Source organism: Homo sapiens, chromosome 10, assembly GCF_000001405.40.
Source record: "Homo sapiens chromosome 10, GRCh38.p14 Primary Assembly".
NCBI classification, from domain to species: domain Eukaryota; kingdom Metazoa; phylum Chordata; class Mammalia; order Primates; family Hominidae; genus Homo; species Homo sapiens.
This window is the reverse complement of record NC_000010.11, coordinates 86336518-86355175: the sequence shown is the minus strand read 5'-3', so window position 1 is coordinate 86355175 and position 18658 is coordinate 86336518. Positions and strand designations below refer to the sequence as shown.

At 55.4% G+C, this 18658-nt stretch overlaps 1 protein-coding gene across 1 annotated transcript in view, besides 1 other annotated feature; it reads left to right on the top strand.

The window, feature by feature from the left end:
* GRID1 (glutamate ionotropic receptor delta type subunit 1) overlaps positions 1-18658 on the top strand; it is a 767244-nt gene that overhangs the window by 11620 nt on the left and 736966 nt on the right. The gene's annotated exons all lie outside the window — the stretch shown is intronic.
* Positions 9010-9304: a silencer, noted in NCBI's record as "tiled region #9256; K562 Repressive non-DNase unmatched - State 24:Quies". NCBI's record gives its function as "represses a minimal TATA promoter and a strong SV40 promoter by Sharpr-MPRA in K562 cells {active_cell/tissue: K562}" and the evidence as "EXISTENCE:reporter gene assay evidence [ECO:0000049][PMID:27701403]".

The following is an 18658-nucleotide window of genomic DNA, read 5'->3' as shown; positions in this document are numbered from 1 at the left end:
AAAATGGAATAGAGGACAGCTGAGAGGATCAGTTGAGGAAATGCACTAGAATAGCCCAGCCCAGGGTGAGCACAGGGCAGTGGCTGGGTGAAGAGGTGGAGGTCGCTGTGATCTTACTAGCCTGAGTGGTCTGTGGTGGAGACTTGTCCTCCTCTCACTTCCTGTTCTGGGCTGGGCAGTGTGAGCAGGTTCCCACAGCCTTGGCCCCACTTAGGGCGGGGGAGATGTGCAGCTTGGAGTTGAGCCCCAGCCATTCTGGGTGTCTCAAGAGAGCAGGGAAGGAGGTTAGTGTTGACGACATGGCTCATATGGAGGCTGCTCGGAGCCATCTGTATAGGCTGGGGCTCTGGGAACCTGTGGCCTGTCACGGCACGGTATTTCCATCTTACTGTGGCCTTGTCTGCTCTGAGTGCATAGAGTGGCCAGAATCCCACTGGCCTGCCCCTGCCTCCCCGGGACCTGGCCATAGGGCAGGCCTACCTTGCTCTATTTGGTGGAAAGGGGTCAGGTGGAAAGGTGTGGGTTCAGTTCCCAAATCTGATTGATTATCTGTGTGGTCTTGAACAGATCGCATTCCCTCTCTGACCCTCAGTCTCAACATCTGTGAAATGGGCCTGCCTTGGGGTTGTGGTGGTGGATCTAGAGAGGACGTATGGCCAGCAGGAGGGAGGCTGTGGTGAGCAACAGTCCACCATGGCGCCCGAGAGAGGGGTGCTTAGCGCCTTGGGGCTCATTCTCCCATTGAGGGCGTGGGTGCCGGCACATAGTATGCTCAGCAGGCATTCGTTCTTGTTGTGTCCCGGCCACCATGTTTTCCATCCTCCTGGGACCCTGCCAAGGTACACGACACCTCTTGGTCTCTGGGTCCTGTCTGGGTGCTAGCAACCCCCAGGTCCGGGCTGAGACACCGGCCTTGCTGCCTGGAGCTCTGGGCCCAGCCCACCCATGGTCTGGCTCTGCTGTGGCCTGTGCCCCTATAAACTGGGTCCTGGCCTGGCCTGGAAGGCTGTCTTCTTGCTGTCTGTCCCCCATGGCGCTCTTCCTTCTCAGTCCAAGGTGGAGACTTGAGGTCCTGCCATGGGTCCGCTCCTGGCCTGGGGCCGTGGGCCTTCTGCCTTTTCATCTGAGTGCCCAGAGGTGTGGTGAGCCATGGAGTGGCCCCACTCTGGCCTCTGGTCTGGGCTCTGGGCTCAAAGCTCTGAGACCTGACCTGAGCTCTGGGCCGAGCCCCCCTCCCAACAGTGCCCCATCTCCAGTGGCCAGTGTCAGATGCTGAGGTGGCCTTGATTTGGCTGGGCTCTAGGGCTCCTAACTCCTTCCCTGCCATGGCTGTAACATCCAATGCTGGTCCTCCTGTGTCCCAGGAGGCTCCCAGGGTACCTGCCCTCACTCACCTCTCCCACAGGGCTCTCGTAACTAAAACAACCCCGTGGGCCGTCCCCAAGTCCTGCAGTTTGCCAGCCTGGGCCTGGAGAGCTGAGGGTGGGTCTCTCCTTATCACAGAACCCCAACTGGAGCTGGCCCAAGGCTTGCTGCTGGGGCCCAGCTCTGTGAAGGGACCTGAGCCTCAGCTCAGGGCATATCTACTGTGCACCTGATAAAGGCTTTGGAGGGCTGAGCCATCACACTGCTGGAACGGGAGGAACATGGCCATAGGTGCCCTGGACAGTCCAGCAGTGTGATGGCTCAGCCCTCCAAAGGGCTTCTGGGGGCTCTGGTGTGGTGGGCAGTGCTGAGCAGATGTGTATGTACACACATGCATACATACACAAGGAGACTGTTGCAGACACCCATGCTGCCTGGGCATGTTTAGCAGAAAGAGCCAAGACTTCCAGCTGCTGCTCAGAGCTCCGCTGGCCCCCTCAGACTCCTCCTGGACTCACGTGAGGTCCCAGTTGGGAGGTGGCATCCTCAGGGTGCATCCCAGCACCCACAGGAGACTGGCCTGGTCATGTGCTCCCCTTGCCTTGTGTTTCCTTTGACTTGTCGGTGACGTCTTCTGGAGGTTGTGGGCTGTGGGGAGGGAGGGACTTGGTCGCTTTTGTTCCCTGTGGTATCCTCAGCTCTAAGGGCAGTTTGTAGTGCACACTCAATAAACACATTTTCCTTTCCCTCCTGGGGCACGTTCCTGGCCTCAGATGTGTAGGCCTGACCTCAGGGCTCTCAGAGATCATCCAATGGGATGGTCATTGCAGTGGTGGTCACTTAACTTGGCCAAGGTCAGGAGGAGGCTGTGGACAGCACCTTAGGTGTTTTTTCATTGTCAGTGTCCCCTGTAGCATCTCAGCATCATGCTAGTGGGATGAGAGGGAGCCAGTCTGCCTGCCCACCCCAGGGAGTGGCCCTCTTGGGGTCTCAGCTATACAGGTCAGCAGATGCCAGAGTTCTTGTGTCCAGAGCTGAGGGGGCCATGCAAAACCAAGGCCAGACTGGGGGAAGGTCTAGAAGTGTTATGGACTGAATGTTTGTTTTCCCTAATATGATGTCAAAGCCCTTAACCCCCAATGTGATGGCATTGCAGGCAGGGCCTTGGGAGGTAATTAGGTTTAGATGGGGTCATAAGGGTGGGGCCCTCATGATGGGATTAGTGGCCTTATAAGAAGAGACACCGGAGAGCTTGCTGTGTCTCTCTGCTGTGTGAGGATGCAGCAAGAAGGCAGCCATCTGCAAGCCAGGAAGACAGCCCTCATCAGGAACCAACCATGCTGGCACCCTGATCTTGGACTTTCAGCTTCCAGAACTGTCTGTTGAGAAAATAAATTCGTCTGTTGTTTAATCCACCTGTCTATGGTGTTTTGTTTTAGCAGCCAGAGCAGACTAAGACAGGAGGGGAAGGGCTGTGAGCAAACCCTGGCCTGGGGCTAGACCTGGCCAGGCACTGACTGCCTGAGGGAGCGTGGACCAGCCCTGCCTTCTTAGGGCTACAGTGCCCAAATTTCTCAAATCCAGCCTTGGACCACATGAGCTGAAGATCCATGTACCTCTGAGGATGGGTGACTCTCATCTCGAACCAGTCTTTATGCTGAGCTGTATTTTTAGTAGAGACGGGGTTTCACCATGTTGGTCAGGCTGGTCTCTAACTCCTGACCTTGTGATCCGCTCGCCTCGGCCTCCTAAAGTGCTGGGATTACAGGCGTGAGCCATCACGCCTGGCCCCTTTTGTCACTGCCCCTCTTTACACACAGGGTCCCTGGTGTACCTAAACAAGGGACGTAATTCACAGAGCCTCAGTGTTCCTTCCTGTACACTTGGGATACTGGTGCCCCCACTTAATGGGCTGACTTCGGGAACAAATGAAGTAATGATTACAGAGGACTTAGCATGTGCCTGGCACCAAGGAGGTGCTCAGTAAAGAACAGCTACAGTTATTGTTCTCATGATGTCACCTGGCCAGTGCAGAGGGATGGGGATGGTCACTGCTTGTTCTGGATGCTCTGCTGATGTTGATGAAGCCCAAGAGGACACTGGCTTCCCAAATCACTGCTTGCTGTGGCTGTGGGTGAGCCTCTGATCCTCAGGCCCTGGGATCTTCTCCCAAGAGAAGGGGGTGCATCAGACACCCCTGCCAATGCTCATGCAGCTGGCTATTTGACTCCAAATGCGGTCTGTACACTGGCTCCTTTAGTCCTGTGTGCTCAGAGCTCTGCGAATCTCATGCCTACTTTCTAGAGGGCTGGCTGTCTTTCCCAGCCCCAGCCACCTTGTAGGGGGGCCTGTGCTGCCCTCACCGACCTCAGAAATGTCCAGCAGGCTGGACCCATTGATCCCTCAGCCCACCTCCCCAGCCTGCCCTGTGGCTTGACCCTGGGTCACAGACCAGCTCCTATGTGTGCTGCAAGAATCCCAGAAATCCCATTAGCCCGTGTGTGTCTGTACCTGACTCAGTCCTGCGCACTTTTTCTATCCACATACACCGTCTTGTGCATGTTTCACGGAGCCACAGGATGCCGGAGTCGGCTGGGGTCCTGGAGCCATTTCAGCTGATCCTCCTTTCATTGTAGAAGCCTCATGGACAGTCACCTGAGTGGCGCTTGCAGCTGGCCCAGGAATCTCACTGGGTAAAGGAATGCAGTGAGCTTGGCAGCATCTGCTGTACTGCAGGCTCCTGGTGATTGCCTGTTCAAAAGCAGAGGCATCTGCATGTTCTCACTCATGTGGGAGCTAAACACATTGAACTCATAGAAGTAGAGAGTGGAATACAGGTTACTAGAGACTGGGGAGGGCAGGGGGAGGGAAGATAGGGAGAAGATGGTTAAGGGACACAAAGTTACAGCTGGTTAGAAGGCATAAGTTCTAGTGGTCCAGAGCACTGCAGGGTGACTATAATTAACAACAATTTATTGTATATTTTCAAACAGCTAGAAGAGAGGAATTTGGATGTTCTCAACACAAAGAAATGATGAATGTTTGAGGTGATGGATATGCTAATTACCTGATGTGATCATTACACATTGTACGCATGTATTGAAATATCACTCTGTACCCCATAAATATGTACAATTACTAAACATCAATTTTAAAAAAGGCAGAGGTGTCTACCAATACATTACAAACTGCCCAGAGCTGTCTGGGCATCATCTCAGGACAATCCTGGGCAGTACAGGGAATGACACAGAAAGCAAAGTGAAGCAGGGATTGCTTAGGGAATGTGAAGGACTGGCAGCCAAGCCGGTGCTCTCCTTGTATGTGCTGGGCCTCCCACTACGCACCTGGCTTTTGTGTGGTTCTCTCCACCTCCAGTGCCATCTCCCCAGCCCCAGCCTGGACACTTGAGGTCACTTCCCCGTGTCCCCCTGCCTCTGCCCTTCCCTCCAGGCCATTGTCCATGTAGCAGCCAGAGTTATCTGAAAAATCAACCTAACCACCTCCCTCTCCTGCTGAAACCCTTCAATGGCTCCCCATTGCACTAAGAATCAAATCCAGACCCCTTGCCAGGGCTGCAAGTCCCCAAGGACCCCGACAAAAGCTGAACTTACCTGTGTCTTAGCCGCCACTTCTCTTGACCTCACTGCTCTGGCCACATTGGCCTTTTCCCCATCTCTCCAACAACCCAAGCATGCATCTACCCTGGGGCCTTTGCACATGCTGTTCCTACTATCTGGAAGGCTCTTTGCATGCTGGGCCCCTTCTTGGCCTTTGGCTATGCCTCTGATCTTACCTCCTCAGAGAAGCTCCCCTTGGCTCCAAGTAGGGCCCCTATTACTCTACCAAAATGTTCTTTTCCTTCTTTGTAGGCGTCCTCGTCGGCAATGATGTTATTAATTTATTTGTGAGGGCCATCAGGTTTGTGAGGGCAGAGAAGTGTCTGTCTTGTTTACTGCCAAGTCCCCAGAGCCAAGCCTGGTATGTGGCTGGTTGGAGGTGTTCAGTAAAAGTCCTTGGATGGGCAACAGGATGGAGGGACTCATGGGAACTCTGCTCTCTGCAACCTCTGCATGCTGCTGCTCCTTGTCCGGTGTTCTTTCTCAGGACCACTTGGGGTCGCACAGCTGCATGTATAGCAGCCCTGTCCTGCCCCCTGTAGGTCTGCCTGTGCTAGCCCTTCCCTCCTGGTCAGCTTCTGCACTGAAGATCTTTCTGGCAAGAAAAGATGAGAGCTGATGGCACTGCCTCTCCCTGGTAATGGCTATTTATATGAGGGCTTCCAAGGCCATGTGCAAAGGGGAGAACCACGCTGGAGATGTTTCCAACACTCACTGGCTGGAGTGGGAAAGTTCTGGAGGCCCCATGCCTCTGTATGCCTGAGGTGTGCCTGTGTGGGCGGGAGAGGGTAGTTGGGGGTGAGTGGAGAAGTCGTGCAGAAGAAATAGAAGCTCACCCGGGCTCCAGGTGCTGGCGGTATAAGCTTGTGCACCAGAACTTGGGTTTCTCTTCTCTTCTCCCACCTGGGAATTTTCTGGTGGCTTAGGAGCCCCTCTTCCCCCAGCAGCCTCCATGGGTGAAATGGGGCTGACATGGTCCTGGCCACTGCCTCTTTCTGGCCAGGGCAGGGGAAAGGGTCCCTGGCCGGGAAGGGGAGGAGCTGTTGCAGGTCTAGGGCAGTGAGCCTGACAGCCGTGAGCTTGGCAGGGAGGTATTGCCCACCAGCTCCCACCAGTGCCTCCCTCCGCACTCCAGGAGCTGCTGACCATTGCCTGTCTGTGAGGACATAGCCAGCAGCCACTGCTGCCACCACGCGGGCCTCTGAGGAAGCAGGAGCTGGACCCTTCCTGGTGAGCAGGGGCTAGAAGGGCTTTGAAGCTCTGTAGTTGTACATGCTCAAGCTTTCTTAGGAGAAGCCTGCATGAGTGCAGCCAGGATGGGATCCACTGCTTTAGGCTACTTAGCTCCTGCCAAGAAAATTAACATTGTTAAAGGCAGGACAGCGAGGTCTGTGATGAGTCTCAGTACGCACTGATCGGCACTGGTGAATGCTTCCGGGAGCTCCTGGATGTCAGGTGCAGCCAGCAGGGGCATGCATGTGGCTCTGCCTTGGCCTTGCCCTGGGACGCTGTCACGTGGACGTGCTACGTGCGTGGATGTGCTGGGACTCTTGCATGCCAGTCCAGGCACTGGCACATAGCAGATGGGCCCCCACTCAGCCTTGCCCCTCAGAGCTCCCCAGGGCATCTTCCCGACACCAGGCCCCTGTGGCTGCTGGCCTGCAGGGTCACACCTGTGCTCAGCATTCAAGTCCTCGTGGTCTGGCCTCTGGCCTGGCATCCAGTCTGCTCTCTCCTGGTTGCCTCCACCCATCCACCCTGTGCCGCAGAGCCCCGTCTCATCCCAGTCTCAGTTCTGTACGCTCTTCAGGAGGCCTTTCCTGGCCGCTCTGCTTCCTCTGCCCGGGCCGGGGCCGCCTCATTGCTGTCATGCCATTCATTGTATCTTTGGTGTCTGGCTTCTACATGCACCTTTGAAGTCTGTGAGCACCAGCACCATGAACTCCTCATCTTGGGACTCCCAGGCCTGTACAGGCCTAGGCACATGCAGGGGTGGAGCAAATGTTTGTTGAGTGGCTGCCTGACTGGACCTCTGACAAGTACACACGAGGACCTGCACACACATACTGCATGCACACTTGTGTGTCCCAGAGAGCTCACAGTGCACACCGGCTGTTGGACTGAGACCCCAGTGATAGGTGGTCCAGGGGTCATCTTCCCAGAGAGTCCCTTCCTGGGGGAGCCTGTCTAGATATGCTGGGAGGTCCCCACTGGGACCATGGGGAAGGTGGCCGGGCCTCGCACCCTGTGGCACATAGGGGTTTCTGCCTCTCATGGCCTGTGGGGAAGTTGTGGCCCACGTGTGTGTTTGTCAGAATGCTAAAGCGGACCATCTGAGACTATCACCTCCAGGGAAACCTGCTGTGGGTCTGAAATCACCCTCCATGTGAGTCATAATAATCATGCTGGTGTCAGAAACTCTCATTTGGGCCTAAGCAAAACAGGGATCATTATTAGGCCATGTAATAGAAAAGGCCAGAGGCTGCATCGCTTCAGGCATGGCTGGATCCAAGGCCCAAATGGTATCCACAGGACTCTGCCTCCGTCTCCACACCCCTTGTCCCTGCTCTCTCCTGTGTGGTTTCCTTCCTGGGCAGCCTCCTGCCTGTTGCAGGCTGATGTCTAATGAGCCCAGCCCCCTGGCCACTTGCCCCTGGAAGAGGGGGATTATTTAACAAGAGTCTCACAGGAGTCCCAGGACTTCAGCTCACTGGGCTGGTATGGGGCTGAATCACTTCCTCCCCGAATCAATCCTGGTGCCCAAGGAGTAGAACACCCTGATTGTCAGACTGGTGGGGGCTGCCCAGTCCCTGGACTGAGAGTGAAAGAGGCACGGTAGATGGGGGTGGGGTCACTTGGAGAGGAAGAGAAAGGATGCCGAGACTGCAGCAGTGTCCAGCTGGGGGCTTCTCTGCCACAGGCACTTGGAATGTGGCCTGTCACGTTAAGGGGGGATTGGACTGGGAGCCTCAGGGCAACACCTGGTGACAGTTGTTCCGGAGAGCTCCAGGAGACCCAAACAGTGCTGGCTGGAAAGCTCTTTGGGGACAGGAGAGTAAGGAGGGGAAGGGCCAGGCTTTGAGCTCTGTGGTATGTCCATGGGTGGGTGGGGCAGGGCAGGAGGGTGGGGCTGGGCAGTTAGGGTAGGCTTTCTGGGGTAAGGGACATGTGCCAGCCCGCAGGATGACACCTGTGCTCAGCGTTCACGCAGGGTACCGGGCCTGGGCCTCTCACACATAGCCCTCACTATGTAGCTGCCATGTATGCTCTTGTACCTGGTTTCAGTCTTCCCCAGCCGGGAGGCCTCTCCTTACCCCATGCATACATTGTGGGTGGGGATCTCTGCTTTATTCCTCCCAATAGGCACATTTGTGGGGAACCCTGAGAGCTCCCTCCAGGTTCCAAGGGACAAGGAGGAGTCCTGGGCCAGCAGCCTTGCCCCATCCTCCTGGCCAGCCTCTGTTTATCCTTCTGCCTAGTGGGGCCAATGCCTGGGGCTGCCGTGGACTTCGGGAAGCTGGGCTGCTGCTGGGAGGTGGCTGCCTTATCAGCAAAGGCCTGGCTCCTGCCTCCTGGGCAGCGTCTGCTCCGCTCTGAACGATTAATTGAATAGAAGTCCTAGCACTGTGAGGCAAAGCTAGGGCCCTGCCTAATCTCATTAAGAAGTCCCCTGACAGTCTCATTAGGCGGCTGGCTACTCAGAGACGTTTATCTCTGCTACAGGATGGTCAGGGCCTGGAGGGGGTGGACCTGGGGCCAGGCCCCACCCAGCTGCCCTCCAAACACAGGCCTGGGCAGAGATAAGGCTATGGCAGCTCTGCCAGCCAGCACCAGTCCCTACTTAATCGGTTATGGTTTGCTGGACTTAATTACTTTAAAATTATTAATTTCAGCTGGAGAAAGCAGGTGGTGGTGGTCCAAGAAGAAACGTGAGCCTTCTTAAGGGGTGTAAGGTGGGCTGGGGCGGAGACGGTGTTTCCAGCTGGCAGAACCCATGTGCTGGAGTTGCCCTGGCAGGCCACACCCAGCAGCGTGTCTGGACACTCTGCATACTATGGCCACTAGCTGGGTGTGGCAGGGACAGACGAGTGGCCTAAGAATGTGAAGCATGCTACAAGAGAATGAAGCCTGCCCAGGGGTGTGGGAGCACAGGGGTGGTGCCTAACCTAGCCTGGGCTTGGGGTTAACCAGGGGAGGCTTCCTGGAAGAAGTGACTTCTGAGCTGAGTCTTAAGTGTGGAACAGTGGTTGGTCAGGTGAAGAAAGGGAGGCAGGCACTCCAGGCAGTGGCATAGCTGGAGCTAGGGCTCAGAGGTGAGCTGTCCAGGGTCCCTGGGCATAGATGGAGGAGGTGCTGACATCCTGGCAAAGTCTGCAGGGGCCTTAGGGCTTCCCTCTGGTACAGGCAGAAGTGGCTCAGGACTGAACCCCTGAGCATCAAAGGATCTAGGATGTGGGCCACTGGAGGGGACATCGCTGGGGCTCAGAGCCATGTGCCTCCATCTAGGCCCTTAAGCTGTGAGGAGAGAGGCCTGTGGGGATGGCAGAATTGCACAGGCTAGTCAGCTCCCCCAACCCCTGCCTCTGCAGGCATCTGTGCTCTGGATTCAGGGCCGCTCCCTGAGGATCCCAGGTGCAGCGCGTACCATTCTTGGAGGTTTCAGGACTTCTACATGGCTGAGGCCCATCCCTAAGCCTGGCTTCTGCCTCCCATGGCCACAGATGCCTGGTCTGCCACAGAGAGGGGAGAGGAGGACCAGGCTGCTAGGCTAGCTGGCTTCTCCCTGGATGGGAAGCAGGGCTTAGACCCCCAAATTTGCCCAAGGCCTGGTGGTAGGTCTGATAGACCCAGGCCTCTCTCTTTTCCACCCCAGGGTCCCCTGTTCCTGTCCACCCAAGCTGCACCACTCTGAGTGACTTTATTACATATACTGTTGAGATGGTGCTGGCTTATGACAAGGGTACCTGCATTTCATAACATATGGCAGCTCGAGGCCCCTCCATGCAGACATGAAGATGAAGATGTCTCATGTCAGACATCTGAGATGAAGGCTCATGCACCAGCAGTGGACTTTGGAACATGTGCCAAGGGAAGAGGAAGTGTGAATCAGGGCGGGAGGGAAGGCCAGTCTGATTGGTCACTGCCGTGGGCCACTGGGGCTCATTCCTGCTGGGGCCCTCCAGGGAACCACAAAAAAATGCATCTGGATTGTCCATCCGGGCAGGGAAAGTGGGAGCATTTATCCACCAGCCCACTCCTCACTGGTCAGAGGGACCCGGTGCTGCTCCCTTCCCAGGTATTCCAGGTTTGTGCAGCAGCTTGGCTGGGCAGTTCCCGCCTGGTGCCAGCAGAGAGCCCCCTGCTGAGCAGAGATGAGGGCTGCCCAGGGATGCCCGTATGCAGCCAGTCACCACAGCAACAGGAGGAGAGGTGGCTGAGAGGATGTGACATGGGCCACAAGAGTTGTCTAGAGACCCAAATTCTGCTAGACTTCTTAGAATGACCTAATGGTAAAATTCAGGTGTCAAGACAGGGCTTTCCTGGTGTGTGTAAATTATATCCTACAAGTGTACTTTGGCTCCAAAAGAGGCTGGTATAGGAGGGGCTGTGCTCCATTTCTCCCCAGCACCTGGTGGCATTGCTAGACCACCACGGCCTCAGAGGCAGCACCTGGCTCTTGCTGGTCCCTGCTCCTCCCCTAGCTTCTGGTCCAGTGTGGGGCACATGTGGGCCAGTCTTGGCTGGGGGGAAGGCAGGTGGGATAGGGCGAAGTCTCTGAATCATCTTTGACACTGGACAGTGCTGTGGCTGGGCTGAGTCCCTCTTCTGCCTCTTATTGGCTGTGCGAGTCAGTGCATGTTCCTCTACATATCTGAGCCTCAGTTTCCTCATCTGTAGGATGGGGATACTCACATCTACCTTGAAGAATTGTTTTGAGAGTCTGAAGACATGGTGTGCATACAGTGGGTGCCCATTTGTTCCCTGCCCACATGTCTCTTGAGGGTTGACCCAGTGCCAGCCACTGTGGGCACAGCAGACCCAGGCCCCAGGAATTCAGTCAAGTGTCAGTGCCCAGGCTCCACCCCAGAGAGCCTGATTTAACAAGCTGGGCAAGGGCCCAGGCACTGGTATTCTCTAAGAGCTTCCTGGGTGGTGCCAAGGGGCGGCCAGGGCCAGCCAATGAACGGTGGCCCTTCATGACACAGAGATGGAACGCCAAGGGCCAGGCGTGGCCACGTGCTTTCCCACCCCAGCTCCCAGCAGGTGATTGGCTAGTGGGGGTGCTCTCACTGTTGATTTCCTTCATCACAGCTCTGGACATTCTCCCCCAGTTCAGACTGAAATACACACTTGTGCTGCACAAGGCGGGGTCCCTGGCTGGGCCATGACTGTCATTCTGTCCATCCCCCTGCATGACAGCGATTCTCTCTCATCAGACACAGGGTGCCATGGTTCACTAGGGAGATGTGGGGATTCACGCCTCATTAACTTCAAGGCTGGGATCTCCAGAAAGGATACCCTCTCACACTGGCTGACCACCTCCTTTCCCACCTTGGGGGCCTCAGCCACCAGAGGCTGTGTATGCCCAGCAGAGCTCTGAGCCAACAATGGCTTATGTTCTCTGCAAGGAATATTTCTCTGCAAGGAATATTTCATCTCATTTTATCAGTAATACAGAGCAGTGGAGCGATGGTACCTATGTGTTCTAATTCATAATTTTACAGTAATTTTAGAAAACTCAAGATATTGGGTTTCTTTCCATTAGTGAGATGGTGGCAGGCAGTAAAGCCCACTGTCTTCTTATAATTGGATTTAAATTGTTTTAATTATACAGCCCATATTCTCCCAGTAACATACCATCTCTGTGAGTTAATGGGCTTTGAAATCTTCTTTTGTTCCATACACTGTAGATACAGATTTTTTTGTTAAATGATTTATTTTATATATAGAAATCCAGAAAATTTGCTGTGAGGTAGCTTAAGATGAGAACTGGGAGGTTCTGTTCTGTTAGAAGAAGGTGAATAACCCTCTGCAGAAAACCCAACCCTAATTCCTGGATGGAATTCTGAACATCTCCAAAACAAGGTTTTAAGAGCACAAGTGATGGAGAGTGCTATCAGCAGAGAGAACATTCGTGTGGCTGAAAGGCTGCTGCATAAAGTCCTCTGTTGATCCTTCAGTGGGGATAGTATAAAGGAAATGTCCATTCATTTGTTCATTCATTTCCTGAGTGCCTACTGTGGACTGGCCCTGGCCTTGGGCATATACACCAAGGAACGCCAGGATCTTTATCTTTAAAGAGCCTGTGCTTTTCACAGGAACAAACATTTGTATTTATGACAAATAAGACCTTTCAATGGTCAGCCCTTCTCCGGAATGGGCTGTCGGGCCGGGGCTCACAGCGCACAGGGTTTGCCCACTGCTGGGGCTCCCTCAATGCTGAGGGGTATGCTGCCATGGAGGGGGTAGCTCGCTACCCGACTCAGGCTGCTCCTGGGCAGGGAAGCAGCGTGGGCTCCCTAGGGCTTCCTGGAGGATGGGCCCAGCTGGGCCAAACTTCCTGTTCTCTGGATGTCCCTCAGGCCTGCCCTTCCCACTCCGTCCTGGGGGCATGGCCAGCCCGTGGGTCTCAGTCCCCCTTGGGTATATAACAGGGCCCAGCCAGCCCCTTAACTGGGTTGGGCTATCCCAGTTAGGCCAGCCAAGTTGCCCAAAAGACTTCTGAGGCTTGACAGACCTTGGGTGAGGACATAGTGGAGTGTGTGTGTACTGGGAAAGGAGCTGGGTTCATCTTGATTTCCACCTCACTTCCTTCTTGGTTCTCTGGACCTGGGGTAGAGGCATCACTGGGACCTGGACTTGGACCTGCTGGCTGGCCCAGCACTGCTGTGTGGCCTTTGTGAGCTACAGCCCTCTCTGGTTTCTGACACTGGCTGTGTGCAGCAGTGCCCGCAGCATGAGGGCCGTGTGACCTGCCTATTTGAGTACTCCCCTCTCATCCCTGCTCCTGAACACATGGGGCACTTGGTTTGGAGCCCCCACTGACTGAGGGTCCTTCAACAGTGTGGGAAGTCTCTGCAAAAACTAGGGAGTAAGCAGAGGTGGATGAGGCCCGGAAGGTCACACCAGCCCCTCAGTTGGAGGGGCCCAGGGTGACTCTTCTTTAAAAGCTCCCAGATGAGAACCTCAAGCTCAGGACTTGCTCCCCATCTCACGATAGAACTTCTAGAATTAGTGCCCTAAAAATCCCAATCCCTGGGCTGGGCTTGGAAACTCTGGCACAGAATCCAAGGCAAAGATGCTCCCTGGAAAGTCCCTGAGGCCAGATCCCTAAATTGGGGCTCCACAGACTAAGAACTGCAGGCGCACAGCTCTTGAGCCTGGAAACCCCATTTGGAAGCCACTCGGTCCAGGCCCTTTGAGCCCAGGGCCCCTCTCTGGGCAGACAGGGCTGGGAAGAGGGGCAGAGCTGTGCGTCTACCCCACTGCCCGAGGCACCAACTCCGCAGATGTAAATGCCAGGCTCATAGCAAGAGACTACGTGTTGTGAAATGTGTCCGTGGTTTTGTGACATGTTCTCTCAGTGTGTCTGTTATTTACAGCTGGTGAGGAGGGCCTAGCTCTGGGAGCCGCAGGAGAGGGAGTGCTCAGGCTGAGGGAAAGCCGTGGCCGGGAGCCCTGTGGGGGAGGATGCTCACCCTCACTGGCTGCTGAAAAGCCACCTTTAAGGTCCTTGGTTAAGCATTTCCCTAAGCGGGCCCTTCTGGAAACGTGTGAGGGAGGGGCACCCGCGTAAGTACCCAGGGTCCCACCAGGGCCTCATCCTAGTCCCATCTTCTCCTCCATCCTCCGGGACTGTTTAGTGGGCAGTGCAGGCTCTGGGGCATCCAGAGCTCCCTGTCGGTGGTAGGGTTTTCTTGCTATCTCTAGAAGCACTCTGCTCCCTTTGTTTTTGTGTTTTAGGGGACTAAGTTGAAAGGATGGACCTGGGGGATCAGGGACAGTCCCTGGAGCAGGGGGTTTCTTAAATGAAACCTGAACAATAAGGAGGAGGGAGGATACACAGCATATGCAAACGCCAGAGGCCAAAGGACAAGTGCCCAGGAGGAGGTAAAGACAGAAGGGCGAGTGGGGGTCGGGGAAGGCAGGGCTCCCTCTGAGAGCCAGGGGATTACAGTAGCTAGCCTGGATCTGTCTGCTGTAGGGACTGGACAGACAGGCCCACTGTCAAGGGGGACAGGGTTGGGGGCTGCCTGTGGTCCTTGACTAGGAGGAGGCCTGAGCAGGAGTAGGCTCCTGAGAGGCAGAGTGAAGGCCTTTCTCTTCCTCCCTTGACACCCTCCAGGTGTTTGTCCAGGGCCACCGCCTCCAGGCAGCTTCCCGCTCCAGTCCTCATCCAGTTGCTCTGCTCCCTCTTTGTAGGCCCTGGCTGCCATGGGGACTTCAGCAGGCAGGGCCATCTTGCCTTTTTCCTTCTTCCCTCCTCCCCTTCTAGTTTTTGGTTGTATCAAAGTTATTCATGCAGATAGTTTCAAGAGCCCGTGACTTCTATGGTCTAGAGAAACAGTGACTCCCCTCCCCTGCCTTACTCCCCCGGAGGCCCCTGTGCCCCTGGAGTATTCACCTGCAGAGTTCCCAAGTGCATGCTTGGCTCCACCCCTTGATATTCCCCTTGTGGACGTCTGTATTGGCTTCTTGCCTCAGAGGAGGGGAATTGTGGGCTCTCTCTCCCTCTGTGCCCTGCATCCTGCCCTCTGGGTGGCAGGTCATGACGGTGCTCTGCAGTCTGGTCAGATCCGTGGTGCACGTTTTCTGCATTAGGCCTGTGTCAACACACAGCACAGCCCAGTTAGGGAAGCGTTGCCTTAGCCTTTCCTGTCCGATATTTTGCTTCCCCTGGAGTTGCTGACTGACTTTTTGGTGGTTCGGGGCTTTGCTTGCTATGCATCTCTCCTCATTTCATCCCCGCACTCTCAGCTGGGCGTCTGAGTGTCCCCTTGCTCTGATCCTTGCTCAGCAACTCCTGGGCTTTCCATTCCGCTGCTTGGCTGCTTGACCTTCTCCCCTGGAGCCTCCCAACTGCTGCAAGGGGCACTCTCCCTCATCTGTGAGGCTCACTCTCCCCTCCTCCAGTCCCTGCTGTCTCCGCCTCTGTGAGTTCTTCCCTGGGATCCATGCAGAATTTCACCCTGCTCCCCACCCCACTGCCGCCCCTCCCGTCCTCCTGGTGCTGCCTGTCTTTCTCCGTAGTTCTCATCTCCTTTTAATAGGCCACTTGGCTGGACGATGGGTTAACCTTGTTGTTGCTCGTTCACCTCTATCCCAAGTGGAAGCGTTAGGAGGGCAGGGATTGCTGTCTTTTGGGTCCTCATCTCTAGCGCCGTGCCTTGCATACAGCAGGTGTTCCATCAATGCAGGTTGCATGGAGGACTAAATACCTCTGAGCTGGCTGCCAGACCCCAGACCTTGACACCTCCTCTTGAGGTCACTTTGGTCTGCTGACTCCCAGCCTCCCCACTCTGCTCGTTCCCTCCTTTGCTGTCGTGGGTTCCTCAGAAAGGTGCAGCTGGCCTCCTCACTGCCTGTGAGGCTGCTCACATGGCCATGCCTGAGGGCCGGCTCTAGGTTCTCCTCCCCAGCGGGAGGCAAAGGCCTAAGCTTTCTTCCTCGGTGTGCATCCTGCAGTGTGGTTCTGCCTGCCTAGCCCAGCCACAGGGTGCAGTGGGAACTACCACACCCCTGGGAGCTGCAAGTTAATTAGTGTAGGTGGAGCCAGCACTGGGTAATCACCGAATCCACTCCCCATGGGCAGGCCCGTGCCAATCCCCAGGCTTCCCGCATGGGGCTTTGAGGTGCCCTGGCCTGGCCTCTGCCAGCCTTGGTGGCTTCTCTCACCCCATACCTCCTCCTCCTCCTCCCCTGCCTTCCCTTGCAGCTCAGGAGATGTTTCTCGAAAGTGCAGGATTCCTGGGAGGCTCCTAGGAGATGTCCAGGTGTGGCAGGGCAGAGAGCATTTGTTCACTTCACAGATGTTCACTGGTGTCTTGTTTGGGCCAGGCACCAGGCACTGTGTTGGGTGCTGGGGTTCAGGGTGGACATGGTACGTGGAGCTTGCCTTTGAATTGAGAGAGGAGGTGAGAGATAGCACTTTGGAGGCAGACCAGCTGGATCTGAACCCCAGCTCTGTCACCGACTAGTTTTTGACCTTGAGCAACTTACTGAAGCTCTCTGAGCTTCACTTTCCTCATCTATAAAATGGGGATAAACATAGGCCCTGCCACCCAGGGTATTTGTGTGAATTAAATACCCAGGGTATTTGTGTGAATTAAAATGGGAGCCAGGCGCGGTGGCTCACACCTGTAATCCTAGCACTTTGGGAGGCCGAGGCAGGCGGATCACTTGAGGTCAGGAGTTCAAGATCAGCCTGACCAACATGGCGAAACCCTGTCTCTACTAAAAACACAAAAATTATCTGGGTGTGGTGGTGTGCACCTGTAATCTCAGCTACTCGGGAGGCTGAGGCAGGAGAACTGTTTGAACCCGGGAGGCGGAGGTTGCATTGAGCCGAGATTGCGCCACTGAACTCCAGCCTGGGGGATAGAGCGAGACTCCCCCCTCCCCTGGGGGGCTGTTACTGTGGACTCTTAGGTGGGAGGGACCAGCAAGTTTCCCAAATGAATTCCAGCTGTGGTTTCTTCGGTTGTACAGGACAAAGATCCAATTCACCCTGGCCTTTGCCAAAAGGGGATTCAGGGCAGGCTGGATTCGGGGCTGTAGAGTATCTCTTTGTGGCTCTGCTTGACTTCATTTTGTACAGGCTCCTTCCACGTCATCCACTATTCGGGCTTAGCAAAAATGGCAGAGAAAAGACCACATTCCCTTTCCACTCGAGGGGAAAGAGGTCTTCAGAGGACTCTGATTGGCCCACCCTGGTTCATGTGCTTATCCATGAACCAATCAGTGCAACAAGGGAATGGATATCCTGATTGGCCCAGCCTGGGTCATGTGCCTATCCATGAACCAATGAGTGTTACCAGGGATGGGAGTATCCTGACGGGCACAGCCTGGGTCATGTGCCCATCCAAGAGCCAATCAGTGTTATCAGGGAGGAGTATTTTCATTGGCCAGCCCAAGCCACGTGTCTCACTTCTTTCCAAAACCAGGTGGAATTAGAAAGAAGTTCCAGGCCAGGTACGGTGGCTCACGCCTGTAATCCCAGCACTTCGGGAGGCCGAGGCAGATGGATCACCTGAGGTCAGGGGTTTGAGACCAGCCTGGCCAACATGGCGAAACCCTGTCTCTACTAATAATACAAAAATTAGCCGGGTGTGGTGGCGGGCGCCTGTAATCCCAGCTACTCGGGAGGCTGAGGCAGGAGAATCACTTGAACCTGGGAGACCGAGGTTTCAGTGAGCCGAGATCATGTCACTGCACTCCAGCCTGGGGGATAGAGCAAGACTCCATCTCAAAAAAAAAAAAAAAAAAAAAAAAAAAGTTCCCAAAGGGAAGAGAAAGGCTGTTAGCAGGATAAGGTGAGCAAATAAACTGCGCTGGACATTCAGAACTGTAACTTCCAGGCCACCACGAGGAGCAGTTCTTCCTTGGTGGCTGTAGACATTGACCTCTGGGGTTCTCCCTTGTGGTTTTCAGGCTGTCTAGGCCACCCCTACTGATGGGAGTTCCCCGATTTCAGGACGTGGGAGGGTCAGTGCCTCCCCGAGTGCTGGCTTTCTGTGGTGTTGTAGCTGGGGCCCAGTGTGGTTGGAAGCTGTCTGCCCCTTACAGGATGGTGTCCCTGTGGGAAGGCCCGGGCTACAGACTCCTGAGCGCACAAAGTCAAGGATCAAAGCCTCCCAGCTCCTGCCTGGGGCGGCACAGCCACTCTCCCAGGCAGCCTTTGGTCCTGTCCTGCCTACATGCAGGTTGGAGTGGCCGGTGGGCTCGTGGGGGGCCTCCCTAACAGGGGATGGGCTGCGTTCCTGCTGGCTGGCTTGTGGTTAGTGTTGTTCGATGAGTCGGTCAGATAGAGAGTGGGCCAGGCTGGCCGGGCACCGTGGCTTATGCCTGTAATCCCAGCATTTTGGGAGGCCGAGACGGGCGGATCACGAGGTCAGGAGATCGAGACCATCCTGGCTAACACGGTGAAACCCCGCCTCTACTAAAAAAAAAAAACTGCAAAAAACTAGCCATCCTGGTGGCGGGCGCCTGTAGTCCCAGCTACTCGGGAGGCTGAGGCAGGAGAATGGCGTGAACCCAGGAGGCAGAGCTTGCAGTGAGCCGAGATCGCGCCACTGCACTCCAGCCTGGGCGACAGAGCGAGACTCCGTCTCAAAAAAAAAAAAAATAGTGGGCCAGGCAGTCAGCAGGGCTCAGGGTCTTTCTGGAAATGCCTACAGATGAGTGGGCGACGCTTACATGAAATAACACAACTGTCAGAAACAATTTATAGCCATGTTCCCATGGAGCCAGGTCTGGTTATGACTCTGCGTGTTGCCTTCTGGCAAATGAGGTTTGTCACCTAATCATTGCGCTTTAGTACCTGATATGAAAACCAGCCCTGGAGCCTACTGGGTGGGGACACCACGGGGTTCCAGGCACCCAGAGGACGGCAGGGGTATGGGGAGGTGTGGACCGGGTGATGGTGGGAAACAGCGTTAATTGTCACCGTGGAGGAG